At 47.4% G+C, this 25396-nt stretch overlaps 2 protein-coding genes across 33 annotated transcripts in view, besides 8 other annotated features; one reads left to right on the top strand and one right to left on the bottom strand.

Moving 5' to 3' along the window:
- Window positions 1-15488, bottom strand: part of CUL4A (cullin 4A) — a 58916-nt gene extending 43428 nt beyond the window's left edge. For 4 of the 11 annotated variants that reach the window (NM_001008895.4, NM_001354941.2, NM_001354942.2 and 1 more), the window contains exons 1-3: window positions 13906-14068; window positions 13593-13708; window positions 4633-4736 (exon numbers count right to left, since the gene is read on the bottom strand). In NM_001008895.4, the coding sequence (NP_001008895.1) occupies window positions 4633-4736; window positions 13593-13708; window positions 13906-14053 (368 nt within the window). In that variant the 5' untranslated portion in view covers window positions 14054-14068. The other 7 variants (NM_001278514.3, NM_001354938.2, NM_003589.4 and 4 more) reach the window with 5 other exon arrangements.
- Window positions 439-1288: an enhancer, noted in NCBI's record as "H3K27ac-H3K4me1 hESC enhancer chr13:113876707-113877556 (GRCh37/hg19 assembly coordinates)". NCBI's record gives its function as "activates a minimal SCP1, AML or CMV promoter by ChIP-STARR-seq in naive H9 embryonic stem cells {active_cell/tissue: H9 hESC(naive)}" and the evidence as "EXISTENCE:reporter gene assay evidence [ECO:0000049][PMID:30033119]".
- Window positions 2709-3272: an enhancer, noted in NCBI's record as "H3K27ac-H3K4me1 hESC enhancer chr13:113874723-113875286 (GRCh37/hg19 assembly coordinates)". NCBI's record gives its function as "activates a minimal SCP1, AML or CMV promoter by ChIP-STARR-seq in naive H9 embryonic stem cells {active_cell/tissue: H9 hESC(naive)}" and the evidence as "EXISTENCE:reporter gene assay evidence [ECO:0000049][PMID:30033119]".
- Window positions 13573-13812: a silencer, noted in NCBI's record as "silent region_5542". NCBI's record gives its function as "represses an Ori minimal core promoter by ATAC-STARR-seq in GM12878 lymphoblastoid cells {active_cell/tissue: GM12878}" and the evidence as "EXISTENCE:reporter gene assay evidence [ECO:0000049][PMID:35858748]".
- Window positions 13873-14202: a silencer, noted in NCBI's record as "silent region_5541". NCBI's record gives its function as "represses an Ori minimal core promoter by ATAC-STARR-seq in GM12878 lymphoblastoid cells {active_cell/tissue: GM12878}" and the evidence as "EXISTENCE:reporter gene assay evidence [ECO:0000049][PMID:35858748]".
- Window positions 14303-14572: a silencer, noted in NCBI's record as "silent region_5540". NCBI's record gives its function as "represses an Ori minimal core promoter by ATAC-STARR-seq in GM12878 lymphoblastoid cells {active_cell/tissue: GM12878}" and the evidence as "EXISTENCE:reporter gene assay evidence [ECO:0000049][PMID:35858748]".
- Window positions 14657-15306: an enhancer, noted in NCBI's record as "NANOG-H3K27ac-H3K4me1 hESC enhancer chr13:113862689-113863338 (GRCh37/hg19 assembly coordinates)". NCBI's record gives its function as "activates a minimal SCP1, AML or CMV promoter by ChIP-STARR-seq in primed H9 embryonic stem cells {active_cell/tissue: H9 hESC(primed)}" and the evidence as "EXISTENCE:reporter gene assay evidence [ECO:0000049][PMID:30033119]".
- Window positions 14833-15122: a silencer, noted in NCBI's record as "silent region_5539". NCBI's record gives its function as "represses an Ori minimal core promoter by ATAC-STARR-seq in GM12878 lymphoblastoid cells {active_cell/tissue: GM12878}" and the evidence as "EXISTENCE:reporter gene assay evidence [ECO:0000049][PMID:35858748]".
- Window positions 15012-25396, top strand: part of PCID2 (PCI domain containing 2) — a 43668-nt gene continuing 33283 nt past the window's right edge. For 12 of the 22 annotated variants that reach the window (XR_001749631.2, XR_007063692.1, XR_007063691.1 and 9 more), the window contains exons 1-2: window positions 15012-15082; window positions 23165-23254. Coding sequence is in view for 14 of the 22 variants with exons in the window: in NM_018386.5 (NP_060856.2) it covers window positions 15047-15082; window positions 23165-23254 (126 nt within the window). In the remaining 8 variants the exon portion in view is untranslated. Of the gene's footprint in view, window positions 15658-23164; window positions 23301-25396 lie in introns of those variants that run through there. The other 10 variants (NM_001320655.2, NM_001258213.3, XM_047430478.1 and 7 more) reach the window with 6 other exon arrangements.
- Window positions 15307-15957: an enhancer, noted in NCBI's record as "NANOG-H3K27ac-H3K4me1 hESC enhancer chr13:113862038-113862688 (GRCh37/hg19 assembly coordinates)". NCBI's record gives its function as "activates a minimal SCP1, AML or CMV promoter by ChIP-STARR-seq in primed H9 embryonic stem cells {active_cell/tissue: H9 hESC(primed)}" and the evidence as "EXISTENCE:reporter gene assay evidence [ECO:0000049][PMID:30033119]".

The following is a 25396-nucleotide window of genomic DNA, read 5'->3' as shown; positions in this document are numbered from 1 at the left end:
TCACGCCTGTAATCCCAACACTTTGGGAGGTCGAAGCAGGCAGATAATCCAAGATCGCAAATTCGAGACCAGCCTGACCAATGTGGAGAAACCCCGTTTCTACTAAAAATACAAAATTAGCCAGGCGTGGTGGCGCATTCCTGTAATCCCAGCTACTCGGGAGGCTGAGACAAGAGAATCGCTTGAACCCAGGAGTGGAGGTTGTTGCGGTGAGCCAAGATTGCGCCATTGCACACTAGCCTGGGCAATTAAGAGCGAAACTCCGTCTCAAAACAACAACAACAACAACAAATTACTTAAATCTTAGAAAGTAGAGTTACTTGAAGTACTGGAATATCCCAGAGGCAAAAGAAATCTGAATATGCAGACCTTGGAATACTCCCTGCCACACAGTATCTCAGCATCTGCCATCACATTAACATTTCCCCAGGTGAGACTGGGCTGGGTCAGAACTCTCTTCCAGCAAAAACAAGCTTTTTGAGAGCAGGACCCGTGCCATTCATGCCTGTCCCTGGTCCCCAACGCACAGTGCTGAGTTGGACAGAAACACCCCATGTTTACTAGGTTAACGTACGAATGTAGCCTAAAAGCCTTCATCACAGTAACCAGCCACTTCCTGGTCTCATCATCCCCTCAGACTCTACTTACTGGTCACTAAGCCGCCTGCCATATTAAACTCGCCCCTCGATTCCCACAAGATGACTCTCCAGGTTCTCCTCTCATCTTCCTGACAGCAGCCCTCATCCACCTCCTCTCATGGCTCTGCTCATTTTCTTTTTAGAGATGGGGGTCTTGCTCTGCTGCTCAGGCTGGAGTGCAGTGGCGCAATCTCAGCTCACTGCAGCCTCGGCCTCCTGGGCTCGTGCAATCCTCCCACCTCAGCCTCCAGAGTAGCTGGGACCACAGGTGTGAACCACACACCCGGCTAATTGTCGTCTAGGCTGCTCTTGAACTCTTGGGCTCAACTGGCCCTCCCAACTTGGCCTCCCAAAATGCAGTGCTAAGGTTAGAGGCGTGAGCCACTGTGTCTGGCCACTCTGCTCATTTTTCCTGGGCATCTCATCCATGTCTGGAGCCACTGGATCTGTGTCTCCAGCCCCAAATGCACAACAGGCATCTCTACCTGAGTGCCTCCTCACCTCCTTCCAAATCAACATGACCACGACAGACCCTCCCCGCCTCAATCCGTGTCTCCTCCTTCCAAATCAACGTGACCACGACAGACCCTCCCCGCCTCAATCCGTGTCTGGTTCATCCTTCCACAGCAGTCAGATCCTTTCCCTCTAACCATAAGAGGTTTGCTGGCAGGATGCTGCCATTCCACCCTGTGGTTTTGCTGCCCAGTCAAACCATTGTGGTGTGACCCCTCACACCACAGTGCACACACACAGGCACACTAACTTCTTACCAACATAACCCAGCCATGCTGTGCCTGAACACCTTGGCTCAATCTCCACCTTCAGATAAACCTCAACCTCTTGGTTCAACAAAGGCTCCTCCACAATTCAGCATCCACCTTCCTCTCATTTTCCCCTTTAGGGATCCTGTCAGTGGTCAACTCTCCCACACCCAGCAGCATACCTGGCTCTTCTGCCCAGTAAGCTTCCTCAGCGCCAGGGCTGCCCACGCTGCTCCCTGGCCTGTGCCACCTTGGCATCCCACAGCGCCTGCCACTTCCTCATCCATCCTTTAGGACATGGCCCAGACATCGCTTCGCCCCTGCAATGCTCCCCTACACAGGTGGGCTAGCTGCTCTTTCTTTAGGTCCCAGGAGCTTATCTGAACCTTTGAAAACCCTTATCACAGGCCAGACGCGGTGGCTCACGCCTGTAATCCCAGCACTTTGGGAGGCTGAGGCAGGTGGATCACGAGGTCAGGAGTTCGAGACCAGCCTGGCCAATGTGGTGAAACCCCGTCTCTACTAAAAATACAAAAATTAGCCGAGCATGGTGGTGGGCGCCTGTAATCCCAGCTACTGGAAAGGCCGAGGCAGGAGAATGGCTTGAACCCAGGAGGGAGAGGTGCAGTGAGCCGAGATCGTGCCACTGCACTCTAGCCTGGGTGACAGAGCAAGACTCCATCTCACAAAAATAAATAAATAAATAACACAAAAAAACAAAACAAAAAAAACCCTTATCACAGCACTGCATAAATGCTTATCCTGATGCTTTTGCCACCGCCATTCGGGTTTAAGCTCCAAAGGGACAGAATCCCATTCTGCTCAGATTTATTTTCCCAGGGCCTGGCATCATACCTAGCACATGACAGATACTTAAAAACATGTGCCGACCCAATGGAAGGCTGTGGTGTGCTGGTCTATATGTAAACTTATCCCATCATTCTGCCAGAGTGACCTCCATGAACAATCTAATTCTGGTTTCTTGCTTAAAAAACCTGTGAGGACTCTGGGATACTCACAGACTGAAGTCTGACTCCTTGGTAGTATCCACAAAGATTCAAATTCAGTCTGCAACTTAGCATCACAGCCTAAGGGCCACCAGGTCTCTGGAGTTCTAGTTGTGCCCGCTGCTCGGGGTTTCCAGAGCACCCTCCACGCTCTGCTTCTGGTGCCACAGCCACAGGAGGGCGCATCCTCCCCATCCCTTCAGGAGGGTCTCCTCTGGGAGGCTCTGCCCCAGATGCTTCACATGCCACCATTCCTGGCCTGACGCGCAGTTCTCAACTCAAGATCTTGTCTCATGACTAATAAGGGCATTTAATACGGTAGTGTTTTTTTCTTTTGCCTTTAATGAACCAAATGATAATTTTTGTAATCACAGTTTTGCCACTGCACCAGGGAAATACAGTAATTCCCCTGCCTCTCCCATAAGCCTGCGACTTCTTGGAGGGTAGAAATCAGGCATGGGGGTCACTTTCCATTTTGCGGTGCCAGTGCAGTAGGTAGAAAGCAAGTGCTTGTGCAGTGAGTGAACTGATGGCACATTAGTCAACCCACAGAGTAGGAGTAACTGGCAAAAGATTCATTTGATCAGGTAATCAGATAGTCGTTTTCAAGTAAATTGGGACAGCAACTAGAGTAGGAACAATCACCGCCTACTGACTCTCATAAACGCCTAAGTCTTTGGGAGAAGGCTTGGGCATCTGCTAAAGACTTCCCCCAAGCCTAGGAGTCAGGCCGCTTTTTGGATGGAAACATCTGGAACGTAGGTTCCTGGAAGCGCATTGCTGAGCCGTGGCACTGGGGCGGGGCCTGCTTCTGTGCGCCCTCACAGGCGCCTCCTGAGATAAGGTGCACTTTGGCCAGGTTCCAAAAGGTGGTGTGCGGTCACTGATCTCTTGAACGACCTCATGATCTTTAGGAAAGGGCTTTGCTGGAAAACACTGCAGAGGCGTATTTACAGAAGCCAGCACAACAGAGCTGGAACCGACTTCACTCACATCTGTGCGGGGTGCTGTGGAGATTGTCTAAACAGAGACCTCTCACCCTGCATTTCAGCTTCCCTGTCACGTGCTTCAACTTCAGCAGCACCAACTGCTGCAGATTCCCTGAGGACCCTTCCAATGAACTCAGAATGGTTTAGTTTCCCAAGATCAGGGAGATGGGGGAGCAGAAGTTTCCTTGAACTAGAAGAACACTTAGAAATAAGCAAACACAAACCACCTAATTTTACACATGAAGAAACGGAGGCCTAGAAAAGTACAGCCACAAGTAGATTTTCTGCAATTATAAACTCTACTTTCTAATTCCTACCCAATGAGACACATGGACAGCTACAGTACTGGGAGGAGGCTGGGGAATGAGATTGAGTCCAGATTAAAGGATTTTCTATAGGATGCCAAGGAGCCCAGAGACTCCCCTGTAGACGTCTGAGTCACAGCTGGTGTGGCAGCAGAATTCTGAGATGCTCCTGCCCTGTCCCCACGTGGAGGATGCCTCACACGCAACTGTGAACGAGGCTGTGAATACGAAGGTCATCATTCCTTGACTGGGTTACGGGTTACATCATATAAGGCCCTATCTCAGCAGGTCAGACAGGCAGATTCTCCTGCTGGTCTAGAAGCAGAAAAGAGTCGTGCTGTGAGAGGAGAGGCAAGGACCTGTGCATGTGGAGCTGAGAGTGACACCAAGCAACACGGGACAGAAGGCAGGGCCCTCAGTCCCACTACCACAGGAACTGGCTTCCGCCAACTGCCTGCCCGTGCTAGCAAAGACCTCAGGTGAGGCCCCAACCTGGCTGACACCTTGACTCTGCCCGTGAGACTGAGCATAGAATCCACTGAATCCTGCCTGGCCTCCTGACAGACACAACTGTGCGCTGATAAGTGGGTGTCTCCATAAGTCGCCAAGTCGATGGGACTTTGTTGCCTATCACAGAAAGCCAATGCAGATGGTGTTTATTAGAATAAAGGATACTCAAACTTGAAGACATTTTTCAGAACATTTCCTAAATACTTCAACCATACCCAATAAATGAACACGGTTTCCCTTTAATTCAAATCAGCAAAATAATTTAAATGGTAAATTTCGCTTACAAACCTATCAAATAAAAGAGAACTTTAAAAGCTGTTGTTTTAATATTAAGGATACTCATTAGCTCTTTATCATAATAATGTTCAGTTTTAAAAGACTTAGATAATGAATAGAAACTTTATGAACCAAAAAAAGGATATTCTCTAAACGGAAGGATCTGTGCCTGGACGTGGTCTTCACAGGCCTGACGCAGTTGCTTGTAGAGCATTGGGGAGACTTTGTGAGAACAGAGATTTTCCACAGCCTGCAAACAAAAGGGCTACATCAATTCTTCAGTATGAACAACAGATTGGTTCATAAAAAAACCCTATTGTTAACATAGCTGTAATCATAAGAAAAAGGCACCCCACACCCTACCCCAGTACTTCAGGAATCTACAAATAAATTACTTATTATGGCTAAGTTTAGGGCACTTCTCGTTGGAACACTGCAGTCCAGTCATAGTTGGCATGGGGGTAGAGGTAACAACAGTTAATGTGGGCACATTGCACCTGCTGGACCTCGGGTCCCAGGCAGCTGGCCTGCACCACTCCTGAGCATCTATGGTGCCCAGTCACTTGGGACTTCTCAACAGGTTTGATCCTCACAGGCCTGTTTCCGGGTGCTCCGATTCCTCAGTCTGAGATGGGGGTCACTGGAGTGTGTTTGTGTTTAAGTTCACCTTGATGATTACAAAGTGAAATCAGGGCTAGAGAACCAAGAAAATCTTTTCCCTCAGTGACCACCTTCCCATCAGGAAGGAGAACAACAGGCTGGGCCTTCCCCTCACACTCCCCAGGGCAGTGATTCAATCCAAACTGAGCTTTTTCTGGGTGACACAGGCCAGACTGTATTGTTTCCTATTTATTTTTCTGCAGGCTAGATGTGTAATTCACTTCAGTTTGTTTAATTAATAAACTTTCTTTTTTATTCTGTGAACACCCCTAATACAAGAAGAAATCTTTTTTTTTTGAGTTGGAGTCTTGCTCTGTCACCCAGGCTGGAGTGCAAAGGCAGGATCTTGGCTCACTGCAACCTCCACCTCCCGGGTTCAAGCGATTCTCCTGCCTCAGCCTCCCGAGTAGCTGGGATTATAGGCACCTGCCACCACGCACAGGTTAATTTTTGTATTTTCAGTAGAGGAGGGGTTTCGCCATGTTGGCCAGGCCGGTCTCAAACGCCTGACCTCAGGTGATTTGTCCGCCTCGGCCTCCCACAGTGCTGGGATTACAGGCATGAGCCACCGTGCCCAGCTGACACCATTTTTTGAAGCAGAAAATTTTTTCTCACAATATTTTTACTCACCTCAAAGAAACAATGCTTGTACATTCTTACCAGTTCTAATAAAATTTCCTTTCCAATCTTAGGTACAAAAACTTAAACTCATTCAATTCCAATATGAAATATTATAAACAGAAATATGGTTTTTCTAACAAGTTTTGAACCAATGTGGGGTTCGAAAAATGTGGGGATATACAGAATAAAAACACTTTAGATAAATAATCTGAATTTAATTAGGATACAATATACCCCTAGGAAAAAAGGTAAATTAAAGTTATAAAGCTATTCATTTTACTAATACTTACACAAGTATTAATAATTCCAATACTAAATATCGGAGAGCTGCTACATATTAACCAAAGTTAAATACATACAGTGATTACTACCATATAAAATACATGCATATTTACAAAGATCAAAAGAGGATGTGGAATAATTATAATCCTGTTTTTAATTATAATCCTGTTTTCTAGCAAGCTTATTATCAGCATAATAACAAAGAAATACAAACTTTCCCCCTACATTTTGTCTTACTATAGAAACGGAATTCCTACCCACATTCTGTATTTACTTTAACTCCTTTCTCAAACTCTTCAATTCCATCCCTTTGAATTCCATATCTTCATAATTTGGTCAAAGATCTGCCATCCTTTTGTCTCCTCAAACAACCAAGAGAACTTTACGACAAAGGTTTTGCTCCAGTAGTTAAACATTAGTGAATCCCACAAACATAATTATTACAAAGTAAGTTTTTTATATAACACATGAAGAAAATGTATTTTCTTCAGCAAAAATCAACAGTAACTTAGGACCATTTTCTGGATGTTTTAATTCCTAGACCAAGAACCAATATCCTTAAAACCATCTTTTCCTGGTTGTGGCAAATGACTAAATATTTTATAACCCACTCTGCCTCCTATGTGTCCTATTTGGTGCACATTTACTATTCATATGAGTCATACTGCAATTTACTTTGTTTTTAAAATTAAGAATTTAAGAACCTCTCAAAACAAGTGGCAAGCCCTGGGTAACCCAGGTTTGCTGTAGGTGCTGAGTCAGGACTCCCGGCTTCATATTACAGGCACTCATCACTGGAAAGGCGACAGCCTTTGTTTCTCCCCGCCCTGCCAACTCCTTGCTGGCAGGAACATACTGGAAGACTTTTTTGTGCTGTTATAGAAGCAGCACAACACAGGAGTTGCCCCTCCCCCAAATGGATTTTTGACACTCAATCATACTTTGAGATTTAGAAATACCCTCTCTGGATGCATAAAGCAACTAATCAGATGGTACTGTGTGCTTCATGTTGGTGCACTCAGGCCATTAGCATTTTAAAGATTCACCCCAGAGAAAAGGAATGTAATCCAATGATCGGAGGTAGAGAAGTATCATTTGCATTCTACTCCTATTAGTATCAAGATGCTTTCCTTGTATCAACAGCCAAGTGAGGAAATTTGGTGTATATCTACAGCCAGCACTGTCTCTTCTCACATCACAGCTACTTCCTAACTAGCAGGTTCATCAAATGATTGTCTGTATTAGCTCAACAGACACGTGTGTGAATGTCAAATACACGTCTATTTATAGTGTCAAAGCATTGCCTGGAGTGAACTCACTGCTACTTAAACAAAATGCTCACTGCGGATAAGGGCAATCCCTGCTCTCAGATGTGGAAGACAGAACAAGGAAGGCCATGGAGCTGTGGGACATGACCTCCATAGTCACACAGAGACCTCCACAGCCACATGGGACGTGACCTCCATAGTCACACAAAGACCTCCACAGCCACACAGATGAGACCTCCATAGTCACACAGCGACCTCCACAGCCACATGGGACGTGACCTCCATAGTCACACAAAGACCTCCACAGCCACGTGGACGAGACCTCCATAGTCACACACGACCTCCACAGCCACATGGGACCATGGGACGTGACCACCATAGTCACCCAAAGACCTCCACAGCCACACAGACGAGACCTCCATAGTCACACAGAGACCGCCACAGCCACATGGACGAGACCTCCATAGTCACACACGCGACCTCCACAGCCACACGGACGAGACCTCCATAGTCACACAGCGACCTCCACAGCCACATGGGACGCGACCTCCATAGTCACACAGCGACCTCCACAGCCACACAGACGAGACCTCCATAGTCACACAGCGACCTCTACAGCCACACGGGACGCGACCTCCATAGCCACACAGCGACCTCCACAGCCACATGGGACGCGACCTCCATAGTCACACAGAGACCTTCAGAGCCACATGGATGAAACCTCCATAGTCACACAGAGATCTCCACAGCCACACGGGACGTGACCTCCACAGTCACGCAGAGACCTCCACGGCCACATGGGACGTGACCTCCATAGTCACAAAGAGACCTCCACAGCCACATGGACGAGACCTCCATAGTCACACAACAACCTCCATAGTCACATAGCGACCTCCATAGGCACACAGTAACCTCCATGGTCACACAGCGACCTCCACAGCCACATGGGACGTGACCTCCATAGTCACACAGCGACCTCCACGGCCACATGCGACGTGACCTCCATGGTCACAGAGACCTCCACAGCCACATGGATGAGACCTCCATAGTCACACAGCGACCTCCATAGTCACATAGCGACCTCCATAGTCACACAGCAACCTCCACAGTCACACAGCGACCTCCACAGCCACACGGGATGTGACCTCCATACTCCCACACAGACCTCCATAGCCACACGGACGAGAGAGACCTCCATAGTCACACAGCGACCTCCACAGCCACACGGAACGCGACTTCCATGGTCACACAGTGACCTCCACAGCCACACGGGACGCGACCTCCACAGTCACACAGCAACCTCCACAGTCACATAGACAAGACGTCCACAGCCACAAAGGACGAGACCTCCATAGTCACACAGCAACCTCCACAGCCACACAGACAAGATGTCCACAGCCACATGGGACGTGACCTCCACAGTCACACAGCGACCTCCACAGCCACACGGGACGAGACCTCCATAGTCACATAGCTACCTCCAGAGTCATATAGCGACCTTCACAGCCACACAGGATGAGACCTGTGTGGCTGTGGAGGTCCCATTCCTACGCTGGGCCTGCAGCTTGGGTGTGAGGGAAGGATGCCACCTAATACAAAGGACTAACCTCTCTCTTTCACTGACCATTATCACCTGGTATCAACATGTCATGAAGACAACTACTCCGTGACTCAAGAAAGACAGCCTGGCTTTCCTCAGAACTTGCATGTCAGCCGGGTGCAATGGCTCACGCCTGGAATCCCAGCACTTCGGGAGGCCAAGGCAGGAGGACTGTTTGAGTCCAGGAGTTCCCAAGGAGCCTGGACAACATAGGGAGGCCACACCTCTCTCTCTCTTTTTTTTTAAAGGGCCTGAGAGGTTTGTTTTTGTGCAACAAAAAACAAAAAAACCAGTTCTAAATCAAAACACAGCCTTTCTCTGAAACCTTTCTAGAAATGCAGTCTTCAGTTTTCTGTTGTCTCATTTAGCAACAAGCAGGACTAAAACATAGAGACACAAGACACAGAAGATGCACTTTCTTCAGGAGTTAGTTATTACAGACCGAAATTCAGGTCGTTCAATGGAAAAGATCCATGCCTTCACAACATTCTCCTCTACACACTACAGGAGGAAAATGATAAAAACAAAGTAACAAACAGAAACAACAGGCCAGCTGAGGCCCAAAAAGTGTAAGTGACAGGACTCCTAAGGTGTTTAGACGTAGAGGGAGAGTGAGCAAAACCAAAAACCAAACACGAAACCAAACCTTTCAAACTTGGGTGAGAATTGGTCCTTTCACATAAGATTCTTTGGCAAAGTATACACCACCCCACCTATACAAAAACTGAGACTTTATTTTGAAACACCAAGTCAAATGTATTGCCTGCTTGATCAGACATCAGTAATTTCACATTTGCTTTTCTTAGATTTCTATCCCATTTGCTTCCAATAGATCTGAGGCAGCTCATGCTTCAGACTCTGTGAGAGGCCAGAAGCCCACCTGTGCGTGGAGAGATGATCACAAGTAAGTGAATCAACTGATTCCACATATCCCCTGGTGGGGCAGCACCTCCAGAGATGCCCCTGGAATTTGCGATGTCTCATTCCAAGGAGGAACCAGTGACTGTCATTTTGGGGTAAGCACTCCTAGTTCTCAGGGTTTCAAGACAGACACCTAAGGCACCTACAAACATTGTTCATAATATCTAGTGATTGTTTTATAAGACATATCACTGTGTACAAGGTGTTGCAAAGTAATTCCGCCTTTTTAAGTAAAAATAATGAGGCAGCAGATATCAGACAGCCAAATCTCCAGGAAAAGAGTAGTAAGAAGCTTTAGCTGTAAGGTATCATATTTTATTAAACCAAAGACCTCTGAGAGTTCAGGTGGGACTCGTTTCTAGTCAAGACACAGTACAAGAACTGTATTAACTTTCTGCCTGAAATAACCACAAAATCAGGCAAAATATACGAAGCAACAGTTTTCGAAGCACTGAGTACTGGGCTATGAAAGACAGTGAATCTCAGAAAGATGGGAGACAAACAGGCCCCAACTGCTCAGCTTCCTGTGTGAAGAGCTTCCAGGTTGTGGTGTGGGGGCCCTGAGTAGCTGGGACTACAGGCATGCAACACCCCACTAGGCTAATTTTTAAATTTTTTGTAGAGATGGGGTTTCACCATGTTGCCTAGGCTGGTCTCGAACTCCTGGGCTCAAGCGATCAGGCCACCTCAGCCCCCCAAAGTGCTGGGATTACAGGTGTGAGCCACTGAGCCCAGACTCTCAATACTGTTAAGAATTTAATTCTCCTACATTGATCTGTAGATTCTATATACCGTCAATCAAAATCTTAGCACACTTTCTTATACAAATTGGCCGATTCTAAAATTCACATGGAAACACAAGGGACCAAGAATAGCCAGAAACCTGTGCAAATGTATGAAGCTGGGGGGCCAACACACCCTGATTTCACAACTCACTCCTCCTACTCCTACGTGGTTTTTGACAAAGGAGCAAAGGCAATTCAGTAGGGGAAAAGAGACTGAAAAACTGGACATTTGCAGGGAAAACACTGACTCTAGACTTTTCTTTGTATTTTTTTGAAATGGAGTCTCACTCTGTTGCTCAGGCTGGAGTACAGTGGCACAACCTCGGCTCACTGCAACCTCCGCCTCCCGGGTTCAAGCGATTCTCCGGCCTCAGCCTCCCAAGTAGCTGGGATTACAGGTGCCTGCCACCACGCCCGGCTAATTTTTTGTACTTTTAGTAGAGATGGGGTTTCACCATGTTGGCCAGGCTGGTCTCAAAATCCTGACGCTCAGGCGATCTACCCACCTTGGCCTCCCAAAGTGCTGGGATTACAGGCATGAGCCACTGCACCCGACTCTGACTCTAGATTTGTATTTCACAATATATACAAAAATTCACTCTACATAGATCGTAGACCTAGATGTAAAACCTAAAACTCTAAAATGTCTGGAAGAAAGTATAAGAGAAAACTTTGTGACCTCAGATTAAGCAAGATTTCTTGGATACTAAAAGCACAATCCATAGAAGAACAAACTGATACATGTGACTTGAAAACTTAAAACAATTACTCTTCAAATGGCACAGTTAAGAGAATCAAAAGACAAGTTGAAGACTAGGCAGAAAGTATTTGCAAGGCGAATATCTGATACAGGACTTGTATCCAGAATACATAATAAACTCAAATACTCAATAATAAGAAAATAACCAACCCAATAAAAATGAGCAAAATATTTAAATAGACACTTCGTCAACGAAGATACATAGAATGGCAAGTAAATACAAAGATGCTTAGCATCAGAGGGAAATGCAAACTAAAACTACAATGACACTCCACCACACACCCACAAGCACAGCTAAAGTTACAGACTGAGGACACCACACGCTGGTGGCGGAGTGGAACTGGAGCTCCCATACACTGCTGGGAGAGACGCACACGCTGGTGGCGGAGTGGAACCGGAGCTCCCATACACTGCTGGGAGAGACGCAAAAGGGGCAGTCACTTGCAAAAACAAGAAATTCCGTACAAAGTTAAACATACATTTTCCATATGACCCTGAGAACTTACTTCTAGATAAAGAAGTAAGCAGAACTCACCTGAGAGGAGTAAGAATATATGTCCAAACAAAGGGTTATTCACAAATGTTTACAGCAGCTTTATTTAAAACAACCCAAGGCCAGGCGCGGTGGCTTATGCTGGTAAACCCAGCACTTTGAGAGACCGAGGTGGGTGGATCACCTGAGGTCAGGAGTTTGAGACCAGCCTGCCCAACATGGCGAAACCCCGACTCTACTAAAAATACAAAAATTAGCCAGGCGTGGTGGCAGGTGCCTGTAATCCCAGCGACTCGGGAGGCTGAGGCAGGAGAATCGCTTGAACCTGCGAGGTGGAGGTTGCAGTGAGCCAAGATCGTGCCATGGCACTCCAGCCTGGGCCACAAGAGTGAAACTCCGTCTCAAAGAACAAACAAACAAAAAACCCCAAACATGGACACCCAAATGTCCATTAACTGGTGAATGGATAAAACAACTGTGGTATACCCATTCTACTAGGTAATAAATTACAATCACACTGCGTTGTGCATGAATCTCAAAAGCACTGTCCTAAGTGAAAGCCAGATACAAAAGACTATGAAATACATGACTGCATTTAGATAAGGTTCTAGAAATCGCAAAATATAGTAACAGAAAGCAAATGGGGGACCGCCAAGGGCTAGGAGTCAGGGGAGAGGGCTGACTGCAAAAGTGGTCATGGCAATTTCGGGGGTGGTAGCAATATTCTACCATTCTACCAAGAAAGATTCCATCTTGACCGTGGTGCCGGTTACGTAACTGCATGCATCTGTTAAAACTTCCTGAAGTGCACATTATATGTAGACTCTATCTCAAAGCTGGTAAGAAAACATCATCCACTTACACTTCAGACAAAGAATGGATGTATGTACACCAAACTGTCAACAGTAGTTTTCTTTGGGTGGTAGGAGTATAGGTGATTGAAGTCTTCTTTTTTGTATTTTTTATAATTTTTACAATGCAGTCACTTGCATATCCAGAAAAAAAGTTTTTTTAATTCAAGCCTTTTAATAGAAATAATTGTATGACACATCGTGACCTAAAATATAGATATTAGACTACTGAATGAATGTTACTTTACAAAAAGAAGACACCAGAAAAAAAGTCGCTTATAAATAAAATATCCAAGTATGGTAAAATGTACTTTTTTGTTACTTCAGAAACGGAACACCATCACTTTGAATTAAATGCTACCAAATCTGTTTGAATACCTTAAAGGCAACCACTAATCACAAAACACAACAGAGAACAAAACCACTTTTTCTGAATTTTGAATTTTTTCAAAATCTGTTTGAATATCTTAAAGGCAACCATTAATCACAAAACACAACAGAGAAAAGACCCTCTTATTACTGTGGCAAGTGACACAGTCATGAGTTTTACATATAACGAGAAAATAATTTGCCGTATACTTGCAAAATATGAGTCACGTGGCTCCTAGAAACACACCTCCTTCTCTTCCGTAATGGGATAACTTTAAATATGGTTCTAAGCAGCTTAAGCCTGAAAACAAAAATTCCACCACGGCAATAAACAAAACCACTTGTTGCCTCTGGGGCTCCCGGCCCTGCAGTGGAGGCAAACGCCCTGCCTTTCCGCTCCCCGGCGAGAGCCTGCGAGGCACCCGGAGCGGCCGCCCGGCCGCGTCTGCGTCACGCGGGGCAGGAGCGGCGTCCCCAGCCCCGGCCGCCGCCTCACCTGGTAGAGCTCCTCGAGGTTGTACCTGATGGAGGTGCTGCTCTGCACGGCCCGCACCGCCTCGTGCAGCTTCCGCCACGTGTCCTGCGTGTAGTTGTCGGGCAGCCGAGGTCTGTCTGCAGGGCGGAGGGAGAGCGGGCGGCTCAGGGCGCGCCGCGAAGCGCCCCGCGTAGCCACCCCCGACCCGGCCGGCGCCCCGGCGCCCCCGCTCCCGGGGCCCGCACGGATCTCGGGGCCTTCCCCCCAAGTCGGGCGGGGTCTCGTGGGGTCCCCGCCCGGGGCGCCTGGCCCTCGACCCGGCCGCCGCACCCACCTCGGAAGTTCTTGATGACCAGCTTCTTGGAGCCGCCCGCGCCCCCCGGCTTGGCGGGCGCGGCGGCCAGGGCCGCGGGCTTGGTGAGGCCGTTGGTGCGGCCCACGAGCGCCGAGAAGCTGCCCTTCCGCGGGGCCTCGTCCGCCATGGCTGGGCCGGAACCGCCGCGCCCCGCCCCGAGCGCCGCCGCCCGCCGAGCTCCGCTCCGCCCGCCCCGGTCCGCGCGGCCTCCGCCCCGTCCTCCTCGCGCGCCCCGCCCCGCCCCGCCCGCGTGCCCGAGCCCAACCGCCGCCGCGCCCGGCTACTCCTGAGGGCTTAGGAACGCGCGCCGGGAATCCCTCCTGAGGGATCGGACTCCCCCTAAGAGATTCGGACACCCCCTCCTGGCTCGAGGGCGCGCGCCGGGACTCCCGTCCTGAGGGATCGGGACCCTCACCCCCGGCTCCGGGGGGCGCACCGAGACCCTGCCCCCAGGGCTCCGGGCACCCCCTCCTGGCTCGGGGATGCGTGCCGCGGGCACCCCTCCTGAGGGGATCGGGAGCCGGGACACCCTCCTGAGGGCCCCGGGGCGCGCGCCTCCTGAGGGCTCGGCACCCCCACCCCGGGCGTGAGACCACCTCGAGGGCTCAGGGGTGCGCGCCGGGACGTGCCCTAACTCCTGCAGGCTCGGGAGCGCGCGGCGGAGGCACCTTATGAGAGCTCGGGAGCGCGCGCCATGTCCCTCCCCCTCCCCCTCCTCGGGCGCGCGCGCCCCGAGGCCCTGGCCCAGCCAGGCGCGGAGGGTCCTCCGCGGCCTGGTTTTCACAAGGGGCAGACGAAGGGTCAGCGCAGTGAAAGGCAGTTTAGCCGTGGGGCTGTCCTCGCCACTGGACCCCAAACCCCTCAGCCCGGGCGGGCCCGAACACACAATCAGAGCCGCTGGCGTCCCGGCTGAGAGGACGGGGCCCCGGCAGAAAGACCCCGGGCCCCCTCAGCCCGAGCGCGTCGCCGAGCCGGTCCCCAGGTTCTCCCTCCGGAACCAACCTGCGCACCCGCGGCGGGGCCGGGGGCGCCAGGACCCAGACGGACCGAGGGCCGGAAGTGACGCCAGCTGGCCCGCTTGAGGCGTAGGGGGTGGCGCTCTCCGTTCGGCGGCGCTCCCATGGCGCACATTACCATTAACCAGTACCTGCAGCAGGTGGGTCCTAGCCGGGGAGCGCGCGGCGGCGTGGTTGGCCCTCGGCGTGTTCCGTGTGTCCCCTCCTGCCTTGGACCCTCAGGCCTTTTCCTTTCCCGCCTCGCCACCCTTCTTCCGTTCGGGTCCCCGGCGGGCAGCCGCGCGAGCCGAACAGCGGCGGCCGGGACTCGGGAAGGCGGCCCGAGTTCTCCCCTGCAGGGCCGCCGTGGGGGCCGGGCGGTGTCCGTGGATCGCGGAGTCGTCGCGGTGTAAGTAGACGCGGCGGTCCCAGGTCGCTGCCCTCACTTGCTGGCACGTGTGGCCGCGCTCCCAGGCGGTCCGAAGGGCCTGCGGGCCACGCCGAGGGCCCGCTGTGGGCGGTGCTGTGTCGGATGGACGCTGTTTCCCAGCAGGATGCGGGATGAATTCGGGGACTCCAGGAGGCGATGGAGGAGTAAGCGCGAGGCTGTGGCCGTGCTGCAGGCCGGGCTCGTGCCCCTCGTCCTCGCTGTCGTTTAACGCCCTTCACTCTCCGAGCACAATGCACACTTCATATCGCTCGGTACATGCGTCTGACAGATGTTGTTCAACAGCTTGTAAGTAGCAGAAGCACAGTTAAAAGATGGACACTTGTAAAGATTCAACGCATATTCTTTCCACTAAACTATGCCTGTCTTCAGAACCAGCACTGTGGTAACAGGGATAGGAAATATAGGGAATGGATTTTTAAAATATTTGAAGGAAACATTACCAAGACGTGGTGAATAAGAATGGGTGGGCTGAGGGACACGGAGGAGTTAAGAATGATTCCCAGGCTTGTAATCTGGGAAAAAGATGAATAGAGTGGATTTGGAGGGAGAAATAAAGTTTTGGGCATGTTGAGTTTGAGGTGTCTGTTGACAACTGGGTAAAGATACGTACTTGATAGCTGAAAAGTCTGACATGATTGGGCCCAGCAGTTGCTTGGTTAATTGAGAAAACTGGTTAAAACAGGAATCACGAAGAAATGGATGTATGTTTTTAACTTAAAACATGAAAGTATACATTCACTTGCCAATTTTTTTTTTACACCACTTACCTCAAGTTCTATACTTGCCAATCTTTTGATGTAAGCCCAGGGCCTTTTCTTTAGGCTGTGTCTGTTTTGGCCTAATCTTAGCAGACTTAACATTTTCCAATATCAGTTTATTTAAAGTTAAACAAGGATATAGGCATTTAAGAACCAATTTGATACGATTATCTTTAGAATTTTCTTAATCTTTTACAATTTTTCCCCCATACCTAATTATTTTTTTAACAAACTCAAGTGAGCCTTTTAAAAACATACAACTTAGCTTATAGAGAAACAACTGTTTCCTTTTGCATTCATATTTCATTGATGAGCTTAAAAGTACATAACTACCATAACAGGTTCGGGTAGCAAAAATAGATTTGAGAACAAACACATCTGGATATGAGAACACATACAACTTAGCTGGCAAAAGCTTGCGATGTATTAGAGTGAAGCCTACTTGCTGAAAGTCGTCATCATACCTTGGGCATCAGCTCGTGTATTTCAGGGAGGGATTGGAGAGAGTCATTTTTCCAATTCAAGTCAGTTAAAGTGAGACTGATAAGCGAGCTTCTACTCTATGTGTGTAAACTGAAGTTTAAACAGACAGATTTGGGTTAAAGATACAAACCTGAGACTCCTTCGTAGTCACATGATGGGAAAGACTGAGAAGGGAAGGGGTGACCCAGGGAACAAGTAGAGAGAGTAGACAGGGGCTGGGCCCAGGATGGACTTCTATGGAGATGTGCATGCCTACATCTCCGCAAAGGGCAGTGTAGCCACTGGGGTGAGACAGCAAAAAGTCCGCTTCCTCCTAATTCTGATGGATAAAAATATTTCTGGTTGAACTGGCATGTTACCTAAGTTTTATGTATTAACAGATTCTTGAATATTTTAAGAAAATAGGTGCCTCTTCGATACAGAATGGCAACCGGTTATACATGGTAACACATGTTTGATTTGTTGTATAGGAACATAAGTGCCAATGTCACTGTATCTCTTTGGGAATAAAACCATCATTTGCACATTCATCAAAGCTAGGAAGTTGGGGGAAATCATTGACTCCTCCTTTAGTCTCAGCAAATAGTCCTTTACCTAATTGGATGTATCTCCGAAGTCTCTCAGATCCATCCCTTCTTTATCTGTTGCCACATGCTCCCCAGCCAGGACGCCCTGCTGCAGGTACTGGTTGATGGTTTCCTTTACTTTGCCCTTTCCAAGTGAGACACAGCAAAGAGACCATAGACTTTAAAGACAATAAGACTTCAGCCCAAATCCTGGCATTTTTACTAATTCTGGGACCATGACAAGTTATCTAACTTCTGTGACTCTCCATCTCTAAACAGGCTTCACATAAGTTGTGAGAATTAAAAAGACCATGAATTCACAGTAAATGCATTTACTTAGTAAATGATAGTTCTGGTATTTTATTGAAGAAGAGTTGAGCATCTGCCTCTGTTACTAAAACTTCATTGACTCTCTGTTTCCTCCAGGGAAAGTTCCAAATGCTTTAGCACATCATCTGGTCCATGTTTACCTGTTAACTTGGCATCACCAGTCTGAAGGTTTATTTCACTTATGCTGAATGCACCATTGCCCCACCGAAGTACTCATAACTTAAAATATACCATTTAACCATTTTAAAGTACACAATTAAGTACATTCACAATATTGCACAACCATCACCATTATCCAGAATTTTTTGTCACCCCAAATGGAAATGTCATAAGCATTAAGCAGTCACTCCCTGGTCCTCCCTCCCGAGCGCTTGTCAACCGCTAATGTGCTCTCTGTCTGTATGGATTTGCTGACTCTGGTGATTTCAGTATGTGGCTTTTGTGTGTCTTTCCCTTGCATCATGTTTTCAGGGTTCATCTGTGTTGGAACATGTGTCAGTGTGTCGTTCTTTTTTATGGCTAATGATATTCCATTGTATGGAGTATTTTGTTTATCCATTCATCAGTTGATGGACCACTTCAGTTGTTTCCTCTTTTTGGCTGTTGTGCTGCTGCTGTGAACATTCTTGCGCAGGTTTTGTATTCTTTTTGGCATATACCTAAGAGTGGAATTGCTGAGTCATATGGTAATTCTGTGTTTAACTTGTTAAAGAAATGCCAAAGCAGCTAGCTGCATCATTTTACATTTTCACCAGCAATGTATGAGGGTTGCAATTTCTTCACTTTCTTGTCAATGCTTGTTTTTTTCCATTCTTTTTATTATGGCCATCCTGCTGGGTGCGGAGTGGTATCTTCTTGTGGCACCCCATGATCTTTCTTGTCCCAAAGATTTTCTTCATTATGTTCCTTTTGCCAAGAACACCTCTCTTTTTTACAGGTGTAGTGAACATCTTTATTTAGGGAATCAGCTTTGAGTTAGATACTTTACTCCTTAATCTTCAGTAGTTCTTCATATTGTCTTTCAAGAGTTTATGGAATTGGAAAGTTTGACTATTCAGAAGTGACTTCAGAGGTTCATGACCTGTAATGATTTTGAATTTTTAAAAGAGTTATGAGTTCCAAGAGTAGATGGTGCCTCCTGTGGACCAGACTGGAGGGCGTGAGGGGCATGCAGCAACCACAAGGAAGTCTTCCTGGGGCCAGAGCCAGGGAGCATCCCCTGGTGAGCCAGGCCTGGGGGTGCCGCTCAGAAGGTGCTCACTTGGAGTCTGGTTGTGTGGTCCCATTGAGGGCTGAAGGCTCTGCAGCATGAGCTGTTAAGAGTTGGCCAGGTGGCTGGGCTGCTAGGGGTCCTGTGTCCACTGCGGCGCCAGTCGCACCTTTAGGGCTTGCAAGTACCGTCCGTTGCCATCCCTGCTTTTCCTCTTCACATCCCCAGTCTTCTCACAGTTTAGTCATTGAGGCAGGGGCATTGATAGGACCACCCCTGGGACACATTCATGCCTGCCAAGCAAGCTGGGGCCCTCCTTGGGCTCAAGGCCCTGTGGCACTGAGCCCTCCTCTGGTCAGGTCACCCGTGGGACACTGGGTGCAGCCCAGGTAGGTGTGGCCAAGCAGAGCCCAGGATGTGGCGACATCACCCTGCATATGTGCAGGGACCACCCTGGGAGGTCACAGGCAAAGGAGGGCTACCAGTGAGTGCCCCCAGCAGGGGTCTCCGCCTCTCCTTGGAGGGCCCCGGTGTCTGTACTCCAGGGTTTGATCCCTTCGTGACCACTGTGTCCCCAGTGTGTTTAGTCATTGAAGTATGCTTCCATTCCACAGTGCTTGCTCCAAGTCTGGGACTCTCAGCTTTCAGTCACTCATAGGTTCCTTCTGCAGAGAGCTCTGGAGGCCTTGGCAACATCAGAACATCATGCTCAAGTGTGACCTGTCACCAGAGTACTGATGTTAACCAGAACACTCCTCTTCTCAGGCTCCTGGGGCTGGGCCCAGTGCAAGGCCCTGGGTGGTGCGAGAGATCGCACAGTGCGGGGCCTGGAGTGCCTGGAACCATAAGCAGGGGTGGCTGTGGGGAACTCTTAGCTTGAACCTCCTGTTTGTGTGGAACCAAAGAGAGCACGGCTTGGCCAGCAGGCTCCAGAACCGCTTTCTAGCCAGAAGCCCCTTAGTTGAGCAAGGTTGGAGTCTGTTGGGGCTCCTGTGGCTAGGCCTGCCCACATGGCACAGGGAGGGCCACTTTGGAAGGCATATCCTCTCTGGGGCTAAACTGACTAATACTGGTTTTCTTGGGGGACTTGCAGACCAAGACCTGGGTGGGATCGGTTGTTTTGCCTTCCATCCCAGGGCCAACTACTGATGGGAGGGCAAACGGGGAAGACGCAGTGTGCCTGCCTGGCCAAGGCAGTTGCCACCCTCATCCTTGAGGGCGCTGTTCCATTGCACCTGGTCAGATGGTCTCGAGGGAGCCAGAGGAGGCCCCTTTGGAGCTGGGCACCAGTGAGTTCTTGCAGGGCGTGGGCAGGGGACACCGGAAAGCCTCCTGCAGAGGATGGGCAGATACCAGTGTTGTCTTCTTGGGGCCATCTTCAGCTTCTTGATGATGATTGGCAAATGCAGTGTTGTAAATTGCAAAATACTGATCTGTAGCATGGTGATTTTAAAGAGGAAACCTAACCCTTTCCCCTAAACAGCTGAGGATCTTAGTATCTGTCTGTCTACCTTTTAGATGAAATCCCTAAACCTGTGGCCAGGGCTATGAAGAGAAACTTAGTTTCCATAATACTTGGGCCCAAATCGTCTTGCACCCATTTGTGACTTTGAAAATGTCAGGAGCTAGGCTATGATGTGACGTTGAGCAGCAGCTTGTGACCTTGCATGGACTGGGGCAGGAGGGCTGCCTCTGAATGGCTGTAGTTTTCCTATGAAGGCAGAAAACCTGCAAGTCTTCAGATGGCTTCAGCTGAAGATAAAGTTAAGTTCCTGCTTACACCTCCAACCCAAATCCCATGGGACTCTCCCTTCTCCTGCTCTGTGCCAGTGCTGCTCTTTCTCACTGACGACTGTGGTCCCGGCGACACCGCCCTACCCACTGCACTCACAAGCAGTTCAGGATTAGGGCCCTAGTGCCACCAACAACATTCTACTCAGTGATGTTGAAATTCAGGATTTTTTTTGTTTTGTTTTTGGCAGTCTTTTTGTCCTTAGAATAAGGACAGTCAAATTCCACAAACTACTGTTTTCAAAGGTTACTCATATAGGTATGTATTTTCTATTTGTTTCAATTTTAAGGTTTGTCTTTCTATTTTATTTCTTGAATGGGGTTGTAAGTAACTTATATTTAAAGGTGTGCTCAGAAACTTTCCTTCTCTCTCTCACCTCATTCCACCCCCCTCTCTAGAAAGATAATCATTTGCATTAGATTCTGCCTTCTCCATCCTGTATTTCCTTTTGGGATGTACATGTGACACACACACAGACATAAACACACATATTTTTCTTGTTTCCCTTCATTCTTATACAAGACGCAGCATTCTATACATACTCTTTTACAACTTGCTTTTTTCACTTAACTGTATCTTCCTAGAAATTATTGCATGTAAATTCCTAGAGATCTTCCTCATTTTCAAAAAATGGTTGCATAGTGTGCCTTAAAATAGATGTTTCACAGAGTATTCAGCCTGTCTCTATGGATGGATATTTAGTTTGTGTCCAATATTTTGTGATTACATGTAGCCGAGTACAAATACCTTCTGTTTCTAGTTGTAAGTTCCTGGCAGTGTGATTACTGTTTCAAAATGTAAATGCATGTGTAGTTGTATGGAATAGTCAGGGGGGAAATTCCTTATCATGGAAGTTAGTCTTCAGGAAGGTGGTGTCAGCCTCCCTGTCATACCCTGAGTTGAACAATGGGGTAGTAGGAGTTGGGCTCCAGTGTGTTGAACTGGTGGCATGTGCCTCCCTTTCTTCTGGGTATGGACACCTGGGCACAGGATTACTGGGTCAGAGAGTAGGCGTTTGCTTGCTTTAGTAGAATACCAATTTTCTTCTAAAAATTTACCCCAAGTTACCCCATCACCAATGTGTGAGCCTTCTAGTTGCTTCAGGCTCCTGGCAACACTTGGTGTCATCAGCCTTCCTAGTTGTAAGTACTCTTGTGGGTGTGTAGAGGGATCTCATCTGCTTGTGCTTTTTTGCCATTTGCACATGCATGTTATGACATCCCCGGTCAGTCTTGTGTTAGCATAAAATGTAAATATTTAATTTTATCATAGTTAAATTATACTGTATCTAAAGCTTTGTGCTTGCCTTTTTTCTTAGTTAGAATTTTTATGTCCTTTTTTTTTTTTTTTTTTTGAGACGGAGTCTTGCTCTGTCGCCCAGGCTGGAGTGCAGTGGCGCGATTTCTGCTCACTGCATGCAAGCTCCGCCTCCTGGGTTCGCGCCATTCTCCTCCCTCAGCCTCCCGAGTACCTGGGACTACGGATGCCCACCACCACACCCGGCTAATTTTTTTGTATTTTTAGTACAGATGGGGTTTCATTGCGTTAGCCAGGAGGGTCTCGATCTTCTGACCTCATGATCTGCCCGCCTCGGCCTCCCAAAGTGCTGGGATTACAGGCGTGAGCCACCGTGACCGGCAATTTTTTTGTAAATATAATTTAAAAGCATATTTGGTTTTCTAGTTATAAAATGTCTGTTGTGGCAGGCGCTAGATAGGGCAAAAGGCTCCCGGGTCTCCTAGTCTCCACCCGACGTTCTGCGCAGTCAGCTGGTGTGGTATGGTACAGGCCCTGCATTCTTTCCTGTGCCTGCATGTTGTACGTAATTTTTCTCTTCTTTTTTCTCCCAAATCAAGTTATACAGTTTTCCTGCAGTTAACTTTTTTTTTCATTTAATCATCATATTGTGGACATTTTCTCATCTTACTACATACAGATCTATTTTATTCTTTTTAACAGCAGCCGAGTATCGCATTGTATGAATGTGACATCTATTTAGCTATTTCCATTTTCCTTTTATTTTATATTAAGGTTGAGTGGAAGCTTTTTGAATTTTGGATATATGTGGTTTTTAAACTGATTTCTTTTTCATAAGCTGTATATTTGGATTTTCAAACATATATTAGTGTGATTGAGTAAAATTAGAATAATTCATCTTCATGAAGAGCTACATGATAAACCACTGACTTATTTTTATTTGCTTAACCTGTTTTTTTGCTTCAGGAACATCTGTTTTTGTTTTTTTGGTCTGTTTTAAAGAGACGGGTCTTGCTATGTTGTCCAGGATGGTCTCGAACTCCTGGCTCAAGCAGTCCTTCCTCAGCCTCACAAAGTGCTGGGATTACAGGCCTGAGCCAGCCAGGAACAACCTATTTTGAAATGAAATTATTGTTTACGATTGCGCCACTGCAGTCCGCAGTCCGACCTGGGCGACAGAGCGAGACTCCGTCTCAAAAAAAAAAAAAAAAAAAAAGAAATTATTGTTTACCCACTGCAGAGAGTAGTGACCATCTGTTACATTTTGATTGTTCTGTCTTCTTTCAAAGTAGGGGAAAATGAATTTTCCCCTGTGTGGCATTCAGTGTATTGTTGTAGGTTCTATTCGAACAGAATATTTTATTTTCTACTTAGGTTTCCCTTTCAAATGTTTCAGGTGTACGAAGCCATCGACAGCAGAGATGGAGCATCTTGTGCAGAGTTGGTGTCTTTTAAACATCCTCATGTTGCAAACCCACGACTTCAAGTAGGTGAAAGAGCTGTGCACACAGGTGTCTGCAGACAATTACAGGGTAACCACTTTCCTAAGAGAAGCGTAGAGTTTGAGTAAGAAGAAAACTAATATTGTCACTCTTATTTGAAAATTTTAAAGTTTCTTTATGATTTATGTAATTTCAATCCATTTGTGGAGCACTGACTATGTACGCACACTGTGGTGATGTGGACCTCCTGCCCTTGTGTTTGATTCCTAGACAGCTCTCTGAGGTTTAGAGAAGTTAGATGGTGGAGAGGCGGTGGAGCTTAGATTCTGTCTAGGCCTGTGCGTCCCCAAAGCCCCATAGACGTCATGTACCACAGGTGTCTCCCATTTAAGTTGTTAGTCAGAAAGGCTGGCAAGCCAAGGCCCAGCCTGGGGTTGTACATGGAGTTTCCATGTCATCTGTGGCGTAGATGATGTTGAGGCAGTATTTTCTATAGAAAATCTTGTGGACATTTGGTAAAGCCCTGTTTCCTCATTGACACCCTTTATCATATTGGAGTGTGTTCCTACTGGAAGCAGCATTTTTCTTTTGGAAGAAAAATGGGCTTATCTATTGGTGATTATGTTTGGCGGTGTACAGACTTGCAACTCAGACCAGGTAAATCAGTCTCTGAAGTAGCAGCAGGCCTGTTTTTGTTTTTCTAATAAAGTTACCTAGGTGATTCTATGTGTAGACAGTGTTGAAAACCATTGCTCTAAGTAGGAGTTAGTGCTAGAGACTCGATGAGACTCAGGCTTGCCTTGGCCAGAACACCCCATGGCTGGTGCCCTGTGCTTTGTATTGTATGACATGAGAGGACACACACTGTCCTGTTTGCAATCTGAGACAGATCCCTTCATTGTAAAATTCCCCAGTAAACTTTCTTTCGGTGGTTTCATTCACCAGGGACTGTAGAATGGTGATTTTTCTGATACTGTCATTCTTCTCTCTCACCATATCAGCATGGGCTCATTGCTTTTGTAAACAAAACCAAACAAAACAAAAAAACGCAGTGTGCTTATAATCCATTGTGTGTTAGTCTGGGTTCTCCAGAGAAACAGAGCCAGTGGGATATATCAATATTTATAGAGATTTAGTATGAGGAACTGGGTCCTGTGATTGTAGAGGTCAAGAAATCCCACACAAGGAGTGAATTCTTTCTTCCTCGACCTCTTGTTCTATTCAAGCCCTCATCAGATTGGCCATTGCCCGTCCACACTGAGGAGGGCCATCTACTTTCCTGAGTCTACTAGTGCAACTGCCAGTCTCATCCAGAAACACCCTCACAGACACTCCCAGAAATAACATTGTCTGGGGACTCCACAGCTAGTCAAGTTGGCAAAATTAACCATCACCTGTTGAGATGTTCAGATTATCTAAAATTTGACTGTTAGGAGGAAAGGAAAACTTAGAAAGAAATGTCAGCTAGACTAGCCCAGGAGATGAGACTGGTGGTCTCAGCAGGAAGCCGAGAAGAACGAGTCCTAACATAGCACCATCTGTAACTCATTAGACCTCACTTACTAAACCTATGACAGTTACTTAACAAGTATTTCTTGACTGACTGGTCAAGAATACTAATATACTGAAATGTATATGAAAGTGCCTAGAATATTTTCTGACTTGCAGAAGGCGAGACCAAATTATATTCATGGGCTTCTTTTTCCCCTGAAATATTGATAAATATTTGTTGAAGTAATGAACCATTTATTTATTTATTTATTTATGAGACAGAGTCTCCCTCTGTCACCCAGGCTGTAGTGCAGTGGCACGATCTTGGCTTACTACAACCTCCCCCACCCATGTTCAAGCGATTCTCATGCCTCAGCCTCCTGAGTAGCTGGGATTACCAGCGTGTACCACCACATCCAGCTAATTTTTGTAATTTTTTTTGTAGAGACGGGCTTTCACCATGTTGGCCAGGCTGGTCTTGAACTTCTAGCCTCAAGTGATCTGCCCACCTCGCCCTCCCAAAGTGCTGGGATTACAGGCATGAGCCACTGTGCTCACGGCCTGAACCTTTTATTTAGAGTGGTAAATATAAAGTGTTACTGTGAACTGTAAAGCATAAATTCTCTTGAAACAGAGGTTTAAATCTCTTTCTATATGTTGCATTCTTTCTGTGCCTATTAATTTTACTTTTGCTA

Source organism: Homo sapiens, chromosome 13 (assembly GCF_000001405.40).
Source record: "Homo sapiens chromosome 13, GRCh38.p14 Primary Assembly".
NCBI lineage: Eukaryota > Metazoa > Chordata > Mammalia > Primates > Hominidae > Homo > Homo sapiens.
Note: the sequence above shows the minus strand (reverse complement) of the source record. Positions and strands in the feature narration are given on the sequence as shown.